General features: G+C 36.9%; 1 long non-coding RNA gene across 1 annotated transcript; it reads right to left on the bottom strand.

Annotated features, from left to right (window-relative positions):
* Positions 1–1,827: 1,827 nt before the first annotated feature.
* LOC105379151 (uncharacterized) lies at positions 1,828–23,651 on the bottom strand. Its single transcript, XR_948719.3, has 3 exons — positions 23,557–23,651; positions 5,930–6,126; positions 1,828–2,284 (listed from the first exon to the last, which is right to left on the bottom strand). It is a non-coding gene; the product is annotated as an uncharacterized LOC105379151 (long non-coding RNA).
* Between the last annotated feature and the right edge of the window lie 253 nt (positions 23,652–23,904).

Raw genomic sequence — 23,904 nt, 5'->3', positions numbered from 1 at the left:
TTTTATTTTCATATCTTGCTCTTGCAGGTTGTAAACTCTTTGATGGCACAGACAATGTCTTCCCCTTCTTTATATCTTGAGTATATAATATCTAGCACATAGGAGGTTTTCGGCAAACACTGAATGAAAAATGGTCATTTCCCATGGCTCTAGCACCCAGAACATAGTGAATTCTTAATTAACATTTGATTGACAGGCAGATAATACTTTTTGTTAAACTTGGAACTGAGCTGACCATGTAATCACAGAAACATACAACTGACAATTTTGAACATGCCAAGTTTTAATTTCTTTATATTTACCCTCTCTGCCAGTATTCCAAGTATTTCAAGGACCTGTACTTCACTCCTCCATAGATTATTAGATCATATTATTTGAGTAATTTCTCATAGAAACCTGCTTATAAATCAAACATGTTACTCATTTGGAATTTTGATTTAGTGTCAACATTAATAATTTTTGGTACTATGCTTCTCCGCATCTTATCGCTATGGATAGACTGGCTATTGGTTAAAATTGGACTATAAACTGTGAAGCACAATAACAAAGTTGTTAACAGTTTTCATGCTTTTCCTGAATGACTTGAAATCATGTCTCCCATTTCATAAAGGAGAGAACAGCTAAGAGAATTTTAGAGAAATTGCTGTTCTCGGAAATCTTCCGCAAATATAATAGCATGTTCCTGCTGCAAGGCCAGCAAAACCCAACTAGAAATTATCTCGTTAGAGACAAAATTTGGAGCAGGCCCATGTTGGCATTAAAGATTTTTGCAGGCAGGCAGCAGGACCCAACAGCTCAGCTTTAGGGCCAAGCCTTCACTCTTTCTCTGGTGGAAGAATTGGGTAGGACTTGATCGACAGATTTTTAGGCCAAAACTATCTAGCCCAGAGGAACATGGCTAGGATTCACTTGTCAACATAAAATTGGAGGCTGTCAAAAATGGTGAGATAGGGCAGAGCCCTTCAGATTTTAATGTGCATACAAATATTGTGGGAATCTTGTTAAAATGCAGATTCTGATTCAGTAGCAGGTAGGGCCCAAGATTTTCTATTCCTAACAAGCTACCAGTGATGCTGGGGATGCCAGGGCTCTTTTGAGGAGCAAGAAGTTAGAGAACACTGAGGATTCACAGTAATCCTCTGACTTTCCAGTGCTCACTTTGGATAGTGAATTGAATAAAACAGGTTTCCCCAACCTGCAGCATGGGTTCTACCTTCTTGCCTTTTTTGATGCAGAGAGTAGGGGTCAGTGGAAGGGAGGACTCGCTGCAGGATTTTTTTCTGTATTTTGCTGACGAGGTGACTTATATGTGAAGATTTTCACAAGTATATATTTTTCTAGACAAAGATCAGAATCTGTATGGATGAATACTAATATTTATATAGTTCCATACATAACTCTGATGACCAGCCAGGTTGCACCAGCTAGCCCCATTTGAATGAAGATACTTGGAGATTATGCCTTGGTCACTGTGTCAGAAAAGAAGTGTGGTGGCAAGAGAGTGAGAAGGAGCTTGGTGTTTTAGTGTTTATTTTGTAATTTTACTTTATGCATACTACCATTTAATGTCTGCAAAATAATTATTTTAACATGTGAATTTTATTGGGTTTTAAGAATTATTTTTGTTGGTCTTAGTTTCCTTTAGCCCTTGGATGGTATGTGTGTGCACGCCATAACCTCACTCATGTCTCATTTCCAGTCCTAGCAAAAAGATACTGGAAGCCTCTGATTTATAGCTTAAGTGAACATTCTGAAAATTTAAAACTTACCTCACCAAAACTCTTTAAAGCAGACATAAGTGATTCAAAGAAGCCCAAGGCAAAAGCATGATGTGTCTTGTTTGTTTATTACCTGCTACTTGCTCACATTTAGTCTGGAGACTGATTTCTTGGAACATAATTGAGGCTTAATTGAATAAAAATAAGCCCTTCACTCTGTGGGAGAAGGTTATGTGCACTGAAGATAAGTTGGAATCCAGGAGTTGTTTTCTCAGGACTTCTTATGAAGCTATTACTCAATTTTTCACATTAAAAGACATCCCCTAGACAGAATCAGCAGAGACAGGGAAAGACGAAGAAAAATGACACCACAGTTCTTGAAGAAAACAAAACCCAATTCCAAATGCTGCCCATCAGCTCAAGCCATCCATCGTCTCTGTACATTCATGTCATCTTATTTTATTCCAATCGAAAATCCACCAGGCAGGGATATGCCTTCTGAGGGATCTGGGTAGCACCATGGATCCAATTCCTGATCAGTGCTTCTAAGCACTGAGAAACTTAAGCTGAAGGAAAAAGAAGATCCAAAGAGGGACTAGAATTAGGAGATTTGTCACCAGACAGTTATTGGAGAAAACAGAAGCAGGAGTTAGAGCAGAAAAAGTAGACAGAAGTTACTTTACTTTTTGAATTACTCGATGGTCAGGATATTTATTTATTTATTTATTTGAGACAGAGTCTCGCTCTGTCTCCCAGGCTGGAGCGCAGTGGCGTGATCTTGGCTCACTGCAACCTCCGCTTCCCAGGTTCAAGCAATTCTTTTGCCTCAGCCTCCTTAGTAGCTGGAACTACAGGCACGTCCCACCATGCCTGGCTAATTTTTGTATTTTTAGTAGAGATGGGGTTTCACCATGTTGGCCAGGCTGGTCTTGAACTTCTGATAGATGGTCAGGATATTTATATGTTTATTCAAAGATGTGATATGTTTCATATATTAAATTTTAGTTCTTCAGTTGGAATTCAGGTGAAAACTATTGAGAAAACACTGGATTTGTAAAATCCATATTTATCAGACAAATCAATCGAAGAAAACCTTCTCTTTTTTCTCATTTTTAAAATGAGAACTCCAAATGTAGTTTTAAGGATAAAACTAGATGTATATAAGCAGTTAGCATGATTCCTGGCTCATAGTAGGTACTTGGTAATTGCTAGCTATTATCGCAGCTATTTAGAAAGATTATATCAACACACAAAAACAGCAAAATATTAAGTTAAATTGTGAAATTTCTCAGTACATGAATGTATTGCTATTTAAAAATTCTCTTACATTGTTAGGATCTAAGAAGCTAAATTGTTAATTTATGATTGTAAATTCATTCTTCATTCAACTCATATTTTGAGTACATGTTATTTCACGTAGTTCCTGCTCAGAAGTTTATTGTGGTCACCTCTTATAATGCCCCACAAGTGAGACAGGTTAGCAAAGCAAGACTAAATACATTGTGGGATAAAAGCAAGGATCAAGGTATGTGTAAGAAGATATGGCAGCAGCGAGACGGGGCATCTTACTCAAATATTTCTTTGAGGAGATAAAGTTTAAACCCAGTAAAGTCTTGACAGGAAGAAAACTTACAATCTGAAGAATCAGCATGTGGAAAACCTAGAAGCAAGAAATGCACGATGCATTCCAGGAAGCCGAGTAATTGAGCACGTGAAGGAAAGGTTGCATGTTGGGGTGAAACTGGAGAAAGAGGGAACAGCGTGATCTTCAAGCAGCAGGATTCCTGACCCGAGCTAACGGGCTTGACATCTTTAAATTACAAAACTGACACATTCAGATTTGCATTTTGGTAACATCCCCTTGGTGGAGGATGGGTTGGTGATGTCGATCTCTGGTACAGAAACGAACAATTATATAGCTGTGAGTTGCTGTACATTTGTATGGTGGCTCAATATAATATAATCAGAATGAATGTTTCCAAGTTCATTCTACACCAATGTGCCTGAAGACATCCGGATAATCTGTCTGAATTCAGCTGCAGGCAAGCATATAGTGTCTGGGTGGGAGTTTGAATACATTCTTACTTAATAGCTTCTATTTTCTGAGATGTAGTTGGCAAAGTCACTTATTAAGAGTGAGGAAATGGAGTTTGAGTTTTTATTTAAGGGTTTAAAAATATGACTAGGTCACTGAACTAGTCACACCAGGAAAGTGTTCTGTCACTCATGGTAGCAGAATTATTGAGGACTTCAGTGACCATTATGTCAGGGTTATCCTTGGATCCTCTGAGGACAGACTGACCCCTAGGGCCTTTAGGAGCACGCGGCGGTTCCCCAAACATGAAATATTTACTGTGAAACTATGAAAATGCAAAGTGCCCAAGGAACCTATTCTTTACTTCAATACTGAGTCATATGAAATGCCAATTTTAACAGATTTTTAACTTCAAAACTGGCAATTTTGTATGAGTCAACCTAACTCCATTTTATATATATCGACAGCCTCAAATATTTTGAAGAATGAATTTGAAGGCAAATTCATACTGAGAGATAGCTACAGACAATCTCCACAGCTGGAGGAGGCAGGGATTTTCATGTTTCAGTGTTCCCGCATTCTGAGACTGTGAAGGATGGTTCTGCTAACCATGGAGAAATGCAACCCAGCCTGGCCAGAAGCTGCTGCAGATTCCACGTCCTCCCTCTGGTGAGAATCACATAGCTCCTGATTAATTGCTCCCCACTGTTAACTAATTAACCTTTTCACTGTGGCACTTAAAACCAGCTTGGGTTAATGTGCCTCCCTCTTGCCCCTAGCTGGATACTCTCAGGCCTGAGAAAGTCCCCTACAGCATGAGGACCTAATCTATTCTGCCTCTGATCCTTGTTCCCACTGCTGACTGCAAGCCTCTCATGTCATTTGTCATTTCCCAAACTCTCAACCCGTCTCATCCTCGCTCTTCTTCTCCATCAATCCATACCCCCTTTTCTCCTCTCTTCTAACTCCTTCCAGGGTGCTCTTGGGAACCCCCTCTCAGATCAGCCTACTTTGCAGGTGGTTGGGCGAGTCAGTCCAAATCAGTGTGCAGAGTTTGAAGCAACCTCACTGTGGCTGTAGATCCAAGCCTCGTTTCCCAATCCAGCTTTATCAGAAATTTTTCTGATGTTTGAGGTCTATTTCTGGGTCTGGTCCCTCCTGTGGGACGCCAACAAAAACAGCCAGCCTGTTGACATCCCTCTCCCCTCCTGCCATATTCCTGCTATCCTAAAACCCTTTCAGACTTCCCTTCCCCTCTGGTTCTGCTTGAAATCCATGGTATATCATTATATTCCTTGCATAAAAATGCTCTTGAAAATACCATGACCCTTGCATTAAAAATATAATTTGATTGAAATGATAAATCTGTTATTATTCAGCTAAGGAAAGATTAAATCTACGGATCCAGTTTCTCCCTCATTTTGAGAAAAAGAGAAATAGGCACACAAACAATTGGAGACACAAACAGTAGCTGAAGAGTGACTTTTTCTTTCAGTATAGTATTTTTAGATAATATTCTCCATCTTCACACCATCTACTTAACGACGGGTGGTTTCACAATTTCCTGAAGTATTGCCTTTCAGTTAAACACCAAGCCCAGCAGCCAAGCCTTACTTTCTCCTTTCCCAATGGTTTCTCTACTTTCAAAGTAGTTTGCGGCTAAGTCAGGAATCACCTTACAGAATGATGAAAAAAGTAGGAGTACAACTTACATTGGTTTTGGGCCCAAAGGCCCCAATGTCTAGAGTTCTTAAAACTCTCTGTGGTTGAAAATCTTGCTCATTGCAAATCACTGCCAAGGTGTATAAGGGTTTTCAAATGGAAAATTCTAGGAAGCCAATGGCTTCCAGGGTACCTTATAGGTTACAGGGAATGGATCTGTCATATTCTGGCCAAAGATTTTTCTCTAACGCTATCACAATGCCAGTATGCCTTCAACTGATCCCTTTCACTAATTAGAAGCATTAGACATAAGGGATTGGCCACTGAGAAGTAATTCTTGGTCCCTTGTTTGTACTTTGTCAGCTTTGTGAGAAACTGGGGACATTGTTGAGCATCAGGCAGGGCAGGTTTCCTGCAAATGGCAGGTGGGCCAATGCCTAGCCCTTTTCCCTTCTGTCAGACTTCTACTCTGCTGCTGGTCCTGGTGTAGAATTTATATAACTAGAAATCTTACCTGTAGCAGAGAATGCAAGCTGTTAATTAGAATTCATGCTTTCTTTTCTTCTCAGCTAGAACCTCTTTCCCAGATTTGTTTGGAGTTGGGTGTGGCTGAGTTTGAGTTCCAGCCAGCCACGTTGGAGTGCATGCTGTCCTGTTTCCGGGTCATGGCTTAAGAAGAACCTATCCTCTTCCAGTCTTTCTCTCTTCTCACTGGATGAAAAGCAGGAGGAGACCAATGGTAAGTCCCTAGAAGAAGGCAGAATCACCGCGTGCAGGAAAACCTCCACCAACCAGGAGAACCTCCGTACCTTCTTCCATGAGCAAGAAAGAAACTTCTACTATGTTTGTCCTTACACATTGTTGTTTCTTCGGCCTATTTACACTGATTCACTCAATACGTTGACAGATTCACTTAACTCCTTATAAAAGTTTTACCAGATTGCTTGTATTTACTTAAGAATCTTTTGTCCAGTTGAATAAAACACTGGCCCATCTGCGTGGGAGGACTTTTTAAGACTCCATTTCTTGCCATTTCAGTAATGCTATTCGCAGCCCTGAACTTCGCTTCTGCACAACTGTGCTCACTTTAGAAGCTCAGATTTCATGTTCAGCTTTTGCTTCCTCATTTGGAATTTTTTTCAATGCTTTCAATTGCTGAACCTGTTTAGGTTTGTGGTAATTCAATCCTAAAAGGATAGACATTAATGTAACCATGCATATTATCTTTTCTAGATATGGCCTCCTCAGCCAAACCCAGAGAATGTCTATAGCCCTGATTCTTGTCAGTTGCCTAATCACCATCTTTTACTTGTATTTGATTTGGTGAATTTTGAGGCATGAGAAAGAAGAAATGTGAGAGCTACAAAACTCAAATCAGAATCCCCTTTATTCAGTTGTAAAGGGCATGGAAACTTCTTATCACAACTTCATGATAGATGTAGACTCTTTTTTGCTTAGAACATGGGCTAGGCTAATGAATGTGTTGCTAACAAAAACTAAATTGGCAAAGCCCTTTATAGCTTATATGATTTTATTTTGTCTTCAAAACAACCCTCGGAGATAGTGAGAAAGGTATTTTGATTCCAGGATTCTATTTGAGGAAACCAAGGTTTGGGAAAAATAAGAGGTTCTTAAGGAACTGGCACTATAACATGGGTGGCCTGAGTCCAAATCCACTGCTTTTTGCAATTAATGTTTATATAATACAGCGGTTCTCACCTCCAAGTATATGGTTCACTTTTATGTCCTCTGGCATTATATTTCCTCTAAGAAGGGAGATCTGTATGAGGGGATTTCCAAGGTTCCTTCAGTTTACATGTTTTATGACTACATTCTGCTATCTGCTTTCATATTAAAAAAAGTTTCTAGGCTTCCATGGTGCTGAAGAACTGGAATTTTCATTTTCTGCTAATTCTGTCTTCACAATGAGGAAAATGATTCAAGTTTTATTTACTGAGGTTCCCTTCCTTTTTCTTTACTCAGTATCGATTCCGTTCCCTTAAATACATTATGTTTGAAGCTGTGATTTTTTTTCCCCTGGAATCAAGCCAGGAATGAAGTTAATCTCAGCCCATTACACTACTAATGCTTATCTTCACCTCAGGATGCTTTCCAAAGTACTTAGAAGTCATTATCCCTTCTAGGACCTAGCACTTTACTGAGTTTCCACTTTGTTTAAAATTAGCATGACCACATAATTTATTATTTTAATCAGGATATGTTTCGTGGGAAAGGAGCATCTATTAATAATTATGCTGGAACAACTGGCATTAACTGGGACTGTCCCAACCAAACAAGCACATATGTTCCTCTAGTTAGAAGGCATCTTTTGTTGGGGGTGTGGGATGTGCTCTGGCTCTGCAGTCTATCACTGGTACTTCCCTGGTTATTTTTTTCTACTTTAGCATCCAAGTATTGGTTCTCATGTCTATTATCACAATGTATAAGAAAACATTTACTTATATACTTTAAAAATACCTGTGTCCCTCACTAGACTTTATTCCATAAGGCAGGATCTAACACCCAGTACAGCATTTAACACACCGTAGATGCTCAATAAGTGATTGTTAGTTAAAGGGATAATAAACAAACCTGCTACCCAAAGGCATCTGGTCAATTATTTAAGAACACCCTAAAATACGTATGGTTTTTGCAAAGAAATAAAAATGCTAGAGATTGTGCTACATTTTAATATCTCAGGCCTATACATGCCCACCTTGTATTTTTGGTATCTGGAGAAAGTCTTATCATTTCCCTCACCATAGCAGTAGATTTGGTACTAAGAAACATTCAGTTGTAATAGTGTGATAAAATGTACTAATAGTGAATGCAAAAGGCATCAGGAAATTTTTTTTTCCTTCAAATGGAGTGGGACCCAAGGTTGTTTTCTGGCTGCTCCTGGAGCCCCACATGGTGCAGGGCTTTGGGTGCAGCATAAAGCTTCCAGGGCTGTTCATCAGGATCAGCAATGAAATTCTATCGAATTGCTAAATCAGAAAGGTTTAGACAGTAGACTCAAACAAATCAAACTCAGAAGAGACTAATTAGCGGACTAGAGTGCCAACTTTGTAATTTATAAATAAAATTAGGCCAGTCGTGCCAGAATGCTCATGTCTATTGGTCAACACAATCTCTCCTGTTGAGAAATGTGAATCAATGCCAAAAGGCTGCTTAGAAATATAGACTGCAGGTAGGTAGTTATATGATCTTAATACTGTTAGAATAAAGTTTTGAGAGTGTGGAGTGTTCAGTTCCTCTATGGATGTAAATTACATCAGGTACTTGGAAATTCACCTCACAGAAGTACTCACGTTTGCTCTTCAGAAACTCTTTTCCCCTGTATGGTGCTAGATCAGTAAAGATGTGTGTAATTTTAATGAGTGATTTAAAATTATATGTAATAATACATACAATAAACTATGATGAGATATTTAAAAATTTAAATTCAAAAATGGGATCCAAGAAGAAAAAAGGGGAAAATAATTTCATGTCTGCATAGAAAATACAGGTCTGTGAGATCCTGTCTGTTTGACAGAGGTTGGTCATAAATTTGAGTCTGAGCTTTCTGGTAGCTGGGATGGAAAGAGAAACTGATCAATTTTTCTTCTCCAGTTCCCATTCATCATCTCCTCCTGCCTGACATGTTACCAAATAACTGGGTAATTAAGTCATATCCTGGTTTCAGAGATTACATTGTATTGGAAGACAACCTAATTTTTCCACCAAAGATCTACATATTATTTCCCAGGAATGGCACTTCTATATATGTATGAGTTAATCTTTATTTCAATTCAGAGTGTTTATTTCTTAGGCTAACTTCCAAACTCTGTAAGGTGTGCCCTCCTTGGAAACTGTAGAGCCCTATGTACTGACACCAAAAAATCACTTAATAATAATTATAAAGATATAGTGTATTCTTAGGTTAAGTACAATCAACTAAGCTTTCTAATATGCAAACCACAGTTTTTTTAAAGGAAACTTTTTTTCTCTGACATATATATTACTTTTCAATCCTAATTGAAGAAATATTCTGACTCAGTTTTTTTGGCATGGTGATAGAGTGAACTTCCATCCATTATTAGCTAATACTTGAAGTTTCTTCTTAAAACATACAGACCACAGGGAAGTATAATTTTGCTACAGAGTAGTGATTCTCAACCACGATATCCCTTCTGTTCTCTGTTATCTTCTAGCCAGATGACAATTGTTGTGATTTTGAGCATGTAGCATACCCCTCAGCTGTGTTGAGTTAAAAATAATTGAAAATCACTGCCATAAAAAATACTATTTAGGTACAGATTAAAAATTTTAATAATGAAATCACTTCAACTCAGCCATTGACTGTGACTTGGAAATGTTTTAGTGAGTTCTTGGAACCATACTTATTTTACTGTGATCTAAACTATGTTTGAAAAGATAATTACCAAAAATTAACATTTATCCAAACTTTAAAATATGGAGTTTTATAGCTGTATATTGCATATACAGACAGAGCACACAAGGGAAGTCCCGCAGCAAGTCAAAGAAAACTCTACAGCATAAACACATTTTCAAAACTTACTAATGTCACATAGATGACATAATTGCTAACTTTTCCAGCCAAGGATGGATGACAATCTTCATAATGTTCAGGGATTGCGTTCAATTAAGCATTTGATAATTTCTTCCCTCATTAGAGATAATCAGTGTCTAGAAACTAGATTGATAGATGTTTCTAAAATTTTGGCTAGAATTGTACAGAATAAATTATACTGGAATTGTAGAAAGATCATGAAGAAATTACTTAGTAAACACAACCAGCTTACAAGTAAAAATACCTCTTTTTTTTCACTCTAGGATTAGGTCTTATTTATGAGGATTTTTTTTTTCTTTTTACTCCACAACATACTCTTATTGGGGGCAAAATGCAAACACTTTTACTTTTAAAAAATGTAACCAACTCATAGGCCCAAAGAGTTTTCTATAAATTTAATACCCTGATTTAGCAAATGAGGATATTAAAGCTTGTAAGGGACACAGCTTGAAATCTGAACCTCCAAACCTAAGCTCTGAACTGTTTTGTTATATGACTGTAGTAAGTACAGAAGTGAGTGTGTGCGTGTGTGTGTGTGTGTGTGTGTGTCTGTGTGTGTGTTTCCTAGGACTAGGTTTCTTGGCTTCCATCAGATTCTTGCAAGTGTTTGTAACTTCCAAAAGATTAATTAAGATGTATTGTTTTACTGGCCAATTTAGAAATTTGTATATAGCCACAGGGTTGGTAAGATAAGAATAAGACAAATATAATTAAAATTTACAGGCTTAGCTCAGAGGAAGATGTTTATTGTATAAAGAAGAAAGCACAGCACAGACCTAGAGAATAGAACTGAAGAGGAAGTCCTTGGTAACAATTTTGTTAAGCCAAAACAAGAAATTAATTAGTGAGAATTAGTTCCAGAAATTTTAAGATTCAGAGTAAAGTGGAGAGATTAGTTGGTGACAGTGACTAAAAATTGGCCATATATAAGGGTTTCACATAGTTTGTTAAGTTTCAGTTCATGACAATATTTAGCATTTTTGGCATGGTGATAGAGTGAACTTCCATCCATTATTAGCTAATACCTGAAATTTCTTCTTAAAACATACAGGATTTATTTATATCAGGATTTGCAAGCACCCTTATTGCATCTGGGTAGATGATATGGTCTGGCTCTGTGTCCCCACCCAAATCTCATCTTGAATTGTGATTCCCACAATTCCCGTGTGTTGTGAGCAGAATCTGGTGGGAGGTGATTGAATTATGGAGGTGGGTCTTTCCTGCATTGTTCTTGTAACAGTGAATGAGTCTCACAAGACCTGATGGCTATTTCAAGGGGGAGTTTCCCTGCACAAGCTCTCTTCTCTTGTCTGCCACCCTGTGAGACATGCCTTTCACCTTCCAAGGTTGTGAGGCTTCCCCAGCCACATGGAACTGTAAGTCCAGTAAAACTCTTTCTATTGTAAATTGGCCAGTCTCGGGTATGTCTTTATCAGCAGCATGAAAACGGATGAATATAGTAGATATTGTGAAAATTAAGACTCAGAAACCCATGAAATTATTATCTGTTTCAGAGTCTCATTCAAAATCATTTGGAACTCAAAAATCCAAAAGCTTACATTGGTCTGTAATTTATGTACCACATCCTAGGACTAATGTTTCTCTAAGTGAAGAGTCACTGTGTTTATATTGTTCTGCATTTGCAGCACCTGCCTTGCTGATGGAATAAGAAACTTCCATGCTATAGAAATTAGGCCTAGAATATGGATCGACTATGTCTTTGATCAACAGACTCAGATCTCTAACCTGTGTTGGTCTTAGGTATAGGAAGATTAATTAGATAGGAATAAGTGTGACTTGGTCAGTAAGTATTGGTGATCTAATTACACCCTGGGACAGGGACAGAATTGAAACTACAGTTCCACATCTTGGTTATTGTGCTGGTTACTCAAACTCTTGGTAGTCATGTTCAGGCTCATGAGGGGTTACAGAGAGATTGATGCATTACAGTTCACAACAAAGAAAGTCATCTTATGGCTGATGATGTGGGGCCAACACCTCCATACAACAATTTGTAGGGCATTCTGACACTATTAATTCAGCACGAAATCAGCTTTCCCAACCAAGTCTTCTATTTCCAACTCATAGGAATCTCAAGTGTCCCAGCTTCCCTTGCTTTGTAGGGCTTCCTTCTTTAGGGAATGAAAAGTAGACCTTCTAGGAAAATGAAGAAAGGCTGAGACCCATCAAGGAAAATGAGACTTAGAAAAAAGAAGGGAAAAATAGCACGTGTGTGTGTGTGTGTGTGTGTGTGTGAGTGTGTGTGTGTAGGTATTGTCTGTGTGTGAGTTGTATAGCTATAAAAATTATAATATATGAATTTATAATTTTCTAAATGATCATCTTTCATTAAAATTAAAGTCAATCTTTTGATTCTAATTTTTTTCTGAATATAATTTTATAGTTTTGATTCTAGCATTTATTAGGTATTTGTTCATTATTTACCATAAAGATAAGATTGAAAAATGGTATTTAGCCAAACGTGTGCTTCATTTATCAAACTCATCTGGCGTATTTTTAACAAGCATATTCAAGAGCTACAGATGGTAAATAAATGCAGAGCAATAAGAAAACTAATTTTTTAAAATTTCTCAAATTTTAAACAAACAATAGTAAAGAAAATAGCCAGGTATGGTGGCATGCACCTGCAGTCCCAGGCACTTGGGAGGCTGAGGTGGGAAGATGGTTTGAGCACAGGAGTTTGAGGCTGCAGTGCACTGTGATCACACCTATGAATAGTAACTGCACTCCAGCATGGGTGACAGAGCAAGATTCTGTCTCTTAAACCGAAAGAAAAGAAAACCCTTTTCTCTTCAGCCTAATGAAATGTTGATGATACATTTGCTTCTGGCTTTAGTTATTCCTATCCCAGGTGAGAGTTGTCCTGGTTTTCATTTCACAGAGCTACACAGTAGGTTTTCAATATTTACGTGGAAATAAGGTGCTGAGTATTGTTAAAGAAACAGGTTTTGTGCTATGTTTCAAAAATGAGTTTATCTGAATCACAAGATTTTGTGTGGTTTTTTAAGGGACTGTAATAAAAAGATAAAGACAAAATGAATTTGTCCCACTTACAGGCATACCTTGGAAATATTGCAGGTTCAGTTCCAGACCACTACAATAAAGTAAGTCACACAAACTTTTTGGTTTCCTAGTGCATATAAACATTATGTTCACACTTTGCTATAGCCTATTAAGTGTGCAATAACATTATGTCTAAAAATGTATATACTTTAATTTAAAAATACTTTTATTTCTAAAAAATACTTACAATCATCTGGGCCTTCAATGAGTTGTAATATTTTTGCTGATGGAATGTCTTCTTTGATGTGGATGGCTGTGGACTGATCAGGGTGGTGGTTGCTAAAGATTGGGGTGGCTCTGGCAATTTCTTAAAATAAAACAACAGTGAAGTTTGCTGCATAGACTGACTCTTTTGTGAAAGATTTCTCTGTAGTATGCAATGCTGTTTGATAGCATTTTACCCATAGTAGAACTTCTTTCAAAATTGGAGTCAATCCTTTCAAACCCTGCTGCTGCTTTATCAACTAAGTTTATGTAATTTTCTGAATCCTTTGTTGTCATTTCAGCACTGTTCACAGTATCTTCACCAGGTCACCAGGAGTAGATTCAATCTCAAGAAACCACTTTCTTTGCCCATCCATAAGAAGCAACTCCTCATCTGTTAAAGTTTTAGTATGAGATTGCAGCAATTCAGTCACATGTTCAGGCTCCACTTCTAATTAGAGTTCTTTTACTATTTCTACTACATCTGCGGTAACTTCCTCTACTGAAGTCTTGAACCTCTCAAAGTCATCCATGAGGGTTGGAACCAACTTCTTCCAAACTCTTGTTAATACTGATATTATGACCTCCTCCCATGAATCATGCATGTTCTTAATGGCACCTAGGATGGTGAATTCTTTCCAGAAGGTTTTCAATTTACTTTGCCCAGATTCATCAGAAAAATCACTATCTGTGGCAGCTATAGCCTTACAGAATGTATTTCTTAAATAATAAGACTTGAAAGTGGTAATTACTCCTTGATCCATAGGCCACAGCACTGATGTGCTAGCAGGCATGAAAACATTAATCTCCTTGTAAATCTCCATTAGAGCTCTTGGGTGACCAGGTGCATTGTCGATGAGCAGTAATACTTTAAAAGGAATCTTTTTTGCTGAGTAGTAGGTCTCAATAGTGGGCTTAAAAATATTCCATGAACCATGCTGTAAACAGATATGCTGCCCTCTAGGCTTTGTTATTTCACTGATAGAACACAGGCAGAGTAGATTTAGCATAATTTTTAAGGGTCCTAGGATTTTCAGAATGGTAAATGAGCATTGGTTTCAACTTAAAGTCACTAGCTACATTAGCCCCTAACAAGAGAGTCAGCATGTTCTTTTAAGCTTTTGAAGCCAGGTGTTGACTCCTTCTCTCTGGTTATGAAAGTTCTAGATAGTGTCTTCTTTGAACTGAAGGCTATTTTATCTACATTGAAAATCTGTTCTTTCATGTAGCTGCCTTCATCCATGATCTTAGCTGGATCTTTTGAATAACTTGCTGCAACTTCTACCTCAGTCAGCACTTGCTGCTTCACCTTTTACTTTTAGGTTATGGAAACAGCTTCTTTCCTTAAACATAATAAACCAACTTCTGCCAGCTTCCAATTTTCCTCCACTTCTTCACCTCTTTCAGCCTTCAAAGAATTGAAGAGAGTTAGGGCCTTGCTCTGGATTAGGCTTTGGCTTAAGGGAATGTTGTGCCTTGTTTCATCTTTTATACAAACCGCTAAAATTTTCTCCATATCGGCAATAAGGCTGTTTTGCCTTCTTATCATTCATGTGTTCACTGGAATGGTACTTTAAACTTTCTTCAATAACTTTTCCTTTGTAGTCACAAGTTGACTAGTGCAAGAGGCCTAGTTTTCAGCCTATCTGGGGGTTTGACATGCCTCTAACCAAGCTTAATCATTTCTAGCTTTTGATTTAAAGTAAGAGCATGTGTGTGCTTCTCTTCCTTTCACTTGAGCATTTAGAGGTCATTGTAGGGTTATTAATTGGCCTAATTTCAATATTGTTGTATGTCAGGGAATAGGGAGGCCTGAGGAGAGGAACAGGTATGGGAGAACAGCTGGTCAGTGGAGCAGTCAGAGCACACAACACATCCCTCCATTCACAGTCTTAAATGGCACAGTTTGTGGTGCCCCAAAACAATTACAATAGCAACATCAAAAATCATTGATAAGAGGCTGGGTGCAGTGGCTCACACCTGTAATCCTACCACCTTAGGAGGCTGAGGCAGGCGGATCACTTGAAGTCAAGAGTTCGAGACCAGCCTGGCCAACATGGTGAAACCCCATCTCTACAAAAAATACAAAAATTAGCCAGGCATGATGGTGCATGCCTGTAATCCCAGCTACTTGGGAGGCTGAGGCATGAGAATCGCTTGAACCCAGAAGGCGGAGGTTGCAGTGAACTAAGATGGCACCACTGCACTCCAGCCTGGGTGACAGAGCAAGACTCTGTCTCAAAAAAAAAAAAAAAAAATCATTGATAAGAGATCACTATAACACATATATAATAATGAAAAAGTTTGAAATACTGTGAGAATTATCAAAATTATTAAACAAAGACACAAAGTGAGCACATGGCATTGGAAAAATTGTGCTGAAGCCTTGCTTCATGCAGAGATTAGTTGTCACAGACCTTCAGTTTGTAAAAAAAAAAAAAACACTTTATCTGCAACAGACAATAAAGTGAAGCACAATAAAACAAGGTATGCCTGATTATACTAGTGGATTTATAGAATAAAATTATTAATAATTAGTGAAATAATAATCATGGTGGCTAATGGGTCTATTATAGATCAGATAACTAAACTCAGCTGCCTGTTAGAAGCATGTTAAAACAAATACAATTTTCTACAAATCAAATTGTACATAAATACAATTTCTTGCCTCACAGGATAAAATAAGGTCTGAGTTTAAGGATAGTTTTCATAGGAGATTAACTCTTTTTTTTTAAAGAAAAGGCAGAAAATACAAGAGAGCTTGTCACCTTTCTCAGCAAACAAGTTAATTGAAGACCAAATTTGAGGTTCATTTGGTGATAAAATATAAAATATGTTTAGATCTAACCAGAAACATAATCTTCTCATGTGGCTAACATTCTTTAATCTTTGTGCTTTTAAATGATCACCAATCTTTGATCTTATATTTACAAAATAGTTAATAACTAGCCCAGTGTTTTGGCATAAAGTATTTAGGTCTCTCATGGTTGTTCATTAAATACTGGGGTGGCTTGGGAATATGGTTGTACACACAATTTTAACCCAGGTTGACTCAAAATATTTGGGGCTTATAATTATTTTTTCATTTCTACCTTATAGTAACCTCACAGACTGGGAATAAATCCTCAGGTGATATTAGCATTTTTAGTACAAAATCTGTCATGGTGAACCTGGTTAATTAGAAGTTCAAAAGTGCTGAGCAGTGAAGGAGTTCTGTTCATTTTTTATTGCTGCTGCAACAGATTACCATAAGTTTGGTGGCTTAAAACAACACAATTTTATTATTTTACAATTCTGGAAGGCAGAGGTCCAAAATGGGGCTCACTTGACTAAAATCAACGTGCAGGCAGTGTTGCTGTTCCCTTGGGATGCTTTAGGGTGGAATCTGTTTCCTCGGCTTTCCCCACTTCTAGAGAACTCTTGGTTTCTTGGTTCGTGGCCCCTTCCTCCATCTTCAAAGACAGCAGCCCAGCATCTCAGCATCTTCATGTTTTTGACTCTGGCTCTCTTGCCTTCCTCTTTCACTTTTAAAGGTCCATGTGATTACACTGAGCTCAGCTGGAAAATCCAGGGTAATCATCCATTTCAATGTCCTTAATTTAATCACATCTACAAAGTCCCTTTTGCCAGGTTAGGTCACATTCATGGTTACAGGGATTAGGACATGCACAGTTTTGGGGGTCATTATTCTGCCCACCACAGGAGTGTTGACAACATTTTATTATTTTAAAAATTAAAATAAATGTATCTTTAACTGTATAAGTAATATATAAATACATTCACTTACATAAAAGACTACAGATAAATCTAATGTCCCTCTTTCACTCTCTCTCTCCATCCAGATTCCAAGAAGTAGCTATTGTTGCTCATTTAGTTTATGACCTTTATGATTTTTTAATGTACCTGTATATCTGTATATATGTAGCTAAAGAGGTATAGTTTGGTTTCTTTCTTTCTTTCTTTCTCTTCTTCCTTTCTCTTCTTTCTTTCTTTCTTTCTCTTTCTTTCTTTCTTTCTCTCTCCTTTTACAAATGCTTTGATATTTTGATGTGATTACTTTGTTGATTAAGGATCAGTTCCTTAGTGACATTAATACCTTTACAATATTTAATCTTCCTATTCTGGAACATGTTTTTATTTTACTTTATTTTTAGTTGACAAGTAAAAATTGTGTACCATGTGATGTTTTGAAATATGTACACATTATGGAATGGCTCAACTGAGCTAATTAACATCTGCATTTATTTTGTGGTGAGAACATTTAAAATTTTACTCTCAGCCTTTTTCAAAATACGATAATTTTTTTTTTTTTTTTGGGATGAAGTCTCGTTTTGTTACCCAGGCTGCAGTGCAGTGGTGCAATCTTGGCTCACTGCAACCTCTGCCTCCTGGGTTCAAGTGATTCTCCCACCTCAGCCTCCCTAGTAGCTGGGACTACAGGTGCATGCCACCACGCAAAATACAATACATTGTTATTAACTACTGTTTTTTCACCATGTTGTACAATAGAGCTCTGAAACTTATTCTTCCTATCTAATTTAAATTTTATATCCTTTGACCAACATTATTCCAATCTACTTTCCCACCTTCCCAGCCCTGGAACCACAATTCTACTCTCTATTGCTGAGTTCAATATTTTTAGATTATATATATAAATGAAATCATGTGGTATTTGTCTTTCTGTGCCTGGCTTATTTCACTTAACATAATATCCCTGGATTATGGTTTATTATTCCATTTTTTAGGTCTTATTTTAAGGACTTCAGTGAAGTTTACTAGGTTTTTTAAGGTTTTTATAGGTTTGCTATCAGCTATTTTATTTTCTGTTGTTGACACAGTGAATGTAATTTTTTTCCATCGAATTATCTAATGGATTATTACTGAGTTATAGGAAAGATTTTTTTATACTGTTACTATATCTAGCCATCTTGATAAACTCTGTGGGTTCTAAATTTTATCAATTTATTTTCTTAGGTGTTATGCAAGTTAATAAATGTATTTGACAATGATAGTTTTGCCATTAATCATCCTTTTCCAGAACTATATTCTTTAATTAATGCACTTAAGGCTATAAATTTACAACTGAGTGCTATATTAGCTGCATCTCACAGATTTTGATATGTAGTACCTGATTATTGTTCAATTCTAATATTGCATTCTACTTTTAAAATTTGTGGTAAGAACAAATAACATGAGATCTACCTTATTTTTTATTCTTTTTTTTATTTTTAAATTTTTATATTATTTTTTGTTTGTTTTTTTGAGATCTACCTTCTTAACAAAATTCAAAGTATACAGTATGGTATTGTTATCTATAAACACAAGTGGAATCATGCAGTATATGTACTTCTGTGATTGGCTTATTTCACTTAGCATAATGTTCTCAAGGTTAATCCATGCTGTCTTATATAGCAGCATTTCTTTTTTACGGCTGAATAATATTCCATTGTATGTATATACCAAATTTTCTTTGTTCATTTATCTGTTGACACTTAGGTTGTTTCCATATTTTGTCTATTGTGAATAATGTTGCAATGAACATAAGAATGCATGTATCTCTTCAAGATCTTCGTTTCAATTCTTTTGGATGAATATTCAAAAGTGGGATTGCTGGATCATATGGTAATTCCATTTTTAATTTTGTGAGAAACATCTATACTCTTTTCCATTTTGCATTCCCACCAACAATGTACAAGGATTCCAATTTTTCCACATCCTCGCCAGCAGTTGTTACTTTGTTTTCTTTTTTCTTTTATTTTACTTCATTTGAATAATAGTCATCTTAACAGATGTAAGAGGATACCACATTGTGGTTTTGATTTGTACTTCCCTGATGATTTGTGATATTGAGCATCTATTCATATATCTGTTGTCCATTTGTATGTCTTCCTTGCAGAAACATATTTTCAAGTCCTTTGCTCATTTAAAAAATTCGGTTATTTGTTTTTTTGTTATTGAATTGTTTGAGTTCTGTATATATCAATGCCTTCTCAGATGTATGGTTTGAAAATATTTTCTCCAATTCTGTAGTTTCTTTCAGTTTGTTGATTGTTTCTTTTGCAGAGCAGAAGTTTTTAGTTTGATATAGTCCCGCTTGCCTATTTTTGCTTTTGTTACAGTCTACTTTTGAATGGGGTCTCTCTCTCTGTCTTTCCCTGTTAAATATTCCTTCCTATACTCATTAGATTTATGTTTGCTTATTCCTGGCTCTTTGGAGTTTAGAAATACATAGTATTTCAGGATTTCTTTTCTGTGGTAACATTGAAAGTATCAAAGATGTTGCCACTCATCCAGCAATTCCTGTTTCTTGGACTTGGTCTTTGTCATCCTACCTTGATAATTGCAGCTCCAAAGGGACATTTCAGTCGCTTTGGCTCTTCAGGAGATCCCCATCATAACCCCTGATTTCAAGGGGGGTAAACCAAGTGTTAATCACATTGAAAACTTTTAGTTCCTGGTACCTCATAGAAGCTGTACTCTTAGCCATCTCTGTTTGATTTTAAATTTGGCCATCAGCAGACCTGCAATGTCAGTCCTGCTAAATGCTGTGTTTCTGATCCATGGAGTTATTAATATTGTTTTTGAATCTAGCGGTTTTGCTTATTTTTTTCTCTTTGTTTACCCATCTTTGGAACAGAGAGGTTACATTAAGGTAAAACCTTCCCCTCTGCTTTTCTAGGTCAGAGAGTGCTCCTTCTGAATGCCCTGATGGCTTTCCTGCTCTTTATGTCATCATTATTCTCTACCTTCAGAGGTCCTTGCTTTTTTAAAAAAAATTATTATTTTTTATTTTCAGAGGAAGAAGAGCTTTTACTTTGTAAGGGTGACCCTCTTCAGTTACTTCTAAATCTAATTCTTCCTGTTGTTCCGGGATTTTGCTCTATCAATTACTCCTCCCACCCCATCTTTGAGTTTTCCTTTTCTGCTGCTCTCTATTCTGAATGAAGACATGCTAAGGCCTCCATTTGATAAGAGAAAACAAACAGAAAGTCCTTTCCTTAACACTGCGACTCTCTTAAATGATAATGGGTCCTTATTTCTCTTTAGTGTTAAACTTTTTGAAGAATATTACCCAGTAGGTAAGTCTAATCTTTTCTTCCCATCTCATCATGCTGTTTACAATCTGACTTCTGTTCTTACTATTATAAGCAAACTTTCCCCTCAAAAATCATTAATAAATCCTTATAGACCAAATACAATGGTTATTTTTAGTTTACATCTTCCTTATCTTCTTTGTAGTACATCAAGGTGTTGGCCATCCCTTCTTGCTTATGACTCATCACTATTTTAATATGTCTTACCCCAAGTTTTTTTCTACTTAACCTTTGGTGATTTTTTTTTTTTTTTTTGACAAGAGTCTCCCTCTGTCACCCAGGCTGGAGTGCAGTGGTGCAATCTCAGCTCACTGCAGCCTCCACCTCCCAGGTTCAAGCGATTCTCATGCCTCAGCCACCTGAGTAGCTGGGATTACAGGCATGTGTCACTACGCCCAGCTAATTTTTGTATTTTTAGTAGAGATGGCTTTACCATCCTGGCCGTGTTGGTCTTGAACTCCTGGCCTTGAGTGATCAATCCACTCACCTTGGCTCCCAATGTGCTGGGATTACAGGCATGAGCCACTTCACCCAGCCGACCTCTGGCAATTCTTTGTCTACACTTTTCCCCTGAACATCTTCATCTGCTTCCATTTTTACTGTTTTAATAGATGACCTAAAAAAATTTCTTTCTATGCAACGATTTCATATCTTTCCAGAGGTAGCAAGTTGTCTTAGAAACAGTTTTGGATCCAGACAGATCCTACCTGTGCCATTGCGTAATGCTCTCACTATAGAGTGTGGCCAATAATAAGTTGGTAGGTGGTTGTTACAATTAAATGCGATGTGCAAAGTGTTCAGCAGGATGTAGGCACTGAATTGGAGCTCACAATATTCATTTCTTTTTCTCTTTCTCCTTATAGGAAGAGGTAGAACTTAAATAAACACAATAATTCAGTAACACAAATTCAATTCAATGAACACAAAAAAGTCCAGCCTTATAGTTCATACACTGTATTTCTACACAGTGTTTGTTACTCTTAGCTGGACTACTTCTTACTCTCTGCTGATACTCTAACAATGTCTAAGTTCAGTGTTCCAAAGTAAATGTATTATCTTCCCCTCAATTTTTGTGTTTATCTGAAGTTGTGTTTCTAGTAATTATGACAGCATTTTTCTGAAGTGTAATTTGGTCCTGATGCAATACCCGCATGTGTCTTGCATTCATCTACTATTAAACTTTCTATAATTAGCATCCCCGTTTAGAACTTTATTACCTTTTTCCAAGGCTACTGGAAGCAGATATCTATCTAAGTTAATTTCAAGCCCAGTTGCCAAGATGAATGTTCTTAAAGCACAGTTTGAAACCATCACTTCTTTATTTAAAAATCTTCAGTTGCTCTCTATGCTCTCTTAAGTAAAGTTCAGAACTGCTTTTTAGATTGATATTCAAGACTTTTGACAAGTGAAGTTCAGCAGAGTTTTCAGAGTTAATATTCTGTAATATCTCACTCAGTGGTTAGCAAATGTGTGTTTGTACGTGTGTGTGCGTGTGTGTGTGTGTGTGTCTGTGTTTTGTTTTTAAGCAGTGGTCCTACTTTTTCCAAGCTAAATATTAAGGGAACAACTCCTCCCCCAATATATAAAAGAATAAGAAGTAAATTTTAACTGGCTAAACTAGGGTAGGAATCCTTGTCTAATCACGACCAATCTTACCCTCATGCTCTTGGTAACTCCCAAGAGTGACAGATCCTTTGAGCCTTGGCATAGTCAATGCCCCCTTCACTTCCTGGAAGTGTCTCAAACTTCTCACTCTCTGTGCCTTTACTTTTACTGTTGCCTTTGCCTTGAAAGAGCTATTGGCACCTGTTGAAACCATACCCATTCTTTGAGACCCACCTTGGCTGCTACCTTATTGGTAGCACCCTGCCTCCAGTTGCCTGTTAATAACTAGCCCAAAGACACTTTAGATTGCGCCTCATACACAGTCTGCCATATATATAGTCATCCATTTTTACCTCTTTCAATCCTATGTTGTAATTTACCTTAGTACAAGAAGTTTTAAATTTTAAACCTCACTTGGCTGTTTATACAAAAGGCTTCAAGGAGAGGATGATCAATAAAACATTTTGCATGATAAATTTGTGTATATCACTTATAGCTTTGAGATCCCTTGAAAGACTAAAGAAAATTGTGATATCATACTTCTAATAATTATTTAATTTCATATTTATTATGGCTGGAAATATAGGTGTGTGTGTGTGTGTGTGTGTGTGTGTGTGTCTGTGAGTGTGTGTGACCTCCACAGGTTAATAAGTGGCTCCTTTTTGTTCAAGTAGCCAGTTGGGCCATATATCCAAGGGCATGTTGATGGTCCTGCTGTTTTGGTGAGTCAGCAATGCCGCATTCTATATTCTGAGGGCATAGTTGCAGTCCTAATTTTCAAGGGTGTTGATAGTCCATAAAGAACTCCCGGACAATTTATGGCATTCTGACTCTCTGTGGTCACTGAGGTTTCTTCAGAGAAGAAACTTAAAGCTTACTAACTACTATGTGAAAAATCACTTTCAGCAGTAGATTTGATTACATCTCTATCTTAGGAATTAAGTTTTGCTTTTTAAAAAAATATATAATCGATGTTGAGTTGCTTTTAATGCACAACCCATAGTTATTTTAGCATAGTGTGATAAAAATTAGTTGGCTTGCCACCAAAAATATTGTTTTTGAAGAACCCGAGGTACTCATCTTTCTCTTGTTTCTTTTCCTCCCAGTATATAATGAAAATAAGTTCAAAGCAGCTGCCTAAATCCCCAAAGTCTCTCAGAAAAAAATGAAATTTTCTTTTCCCAGACCACAGTGTAGTGAAATAAATTAGTATAATGATTTATGTTTACTCTTTTAGTCAATTCTGATGGAGATTATAGAGACAAAATGACAAACTGCCTTAGTGGTAAACTTAAATCATGTCAGCCAATCTTTAGTTTTTCCTTACCCTAATTGCTCCTCCTGTTCATTTATCTTCCCAGGCAATCTTTGGAAGAAATACTAGTTCAATCAGTGCATGTGCAAACCACCCGAGATAAAAAAGTTTAGTCTAATTTGTCTCACTAAATTGTAATGCCTCTGGTAAACAAATCTTGGTTTGAAAGGAGACTAAAGAAATTCGAATAATTATTTGTATAAAATGCTCTTTTTGCATTTCTAAAGATACCATTTATATTCAGGTTTCTTCTTCTCCACTCTTACCTCTATATTTCTTTTCCTTACTGTCTTTGAAGATGTGTCCTATTTTCAAGTCAGGGTTCAGAATTGCATGCAATATTTTTATTCACACAGTTCAGGACCTGTTCAATATACAAGTGAAAGATAAAGACTTTTTAAAGGAAAAAACCCAGCAGCATTGTATACTGAAAAAGAGTATGTTGATAAATAGCTTTTATAAGGATAATAAGAGATAGTATTTTAAAATGGAAAGAAAACCTCTAGCCACATACTTTGAAGCACATAGACTTTGAAGCACATAAGCTTTTAGGTGATGAGAACAATGTTAAGAATGTATTTTTGTCTCAACATCAGAACTTTTTAATGGGACTT

This window comes from Homo sapiens, chromosome 5, assembly GCF_000001405.40.
Source record: "Homo sapiens chromosome 5, GRCh38.p14 Primary Assembly".
NCBI lineage: Eukaryota > Metazoa > Chordata > Mammalia > Primates > Hominidae > Homo > Homo sapiens.
The sequence above is the reverse complement of the archived record's forward strand: the minus strand, read 5'-3'. Positions and strand labels throughout refer to the sequence as shown.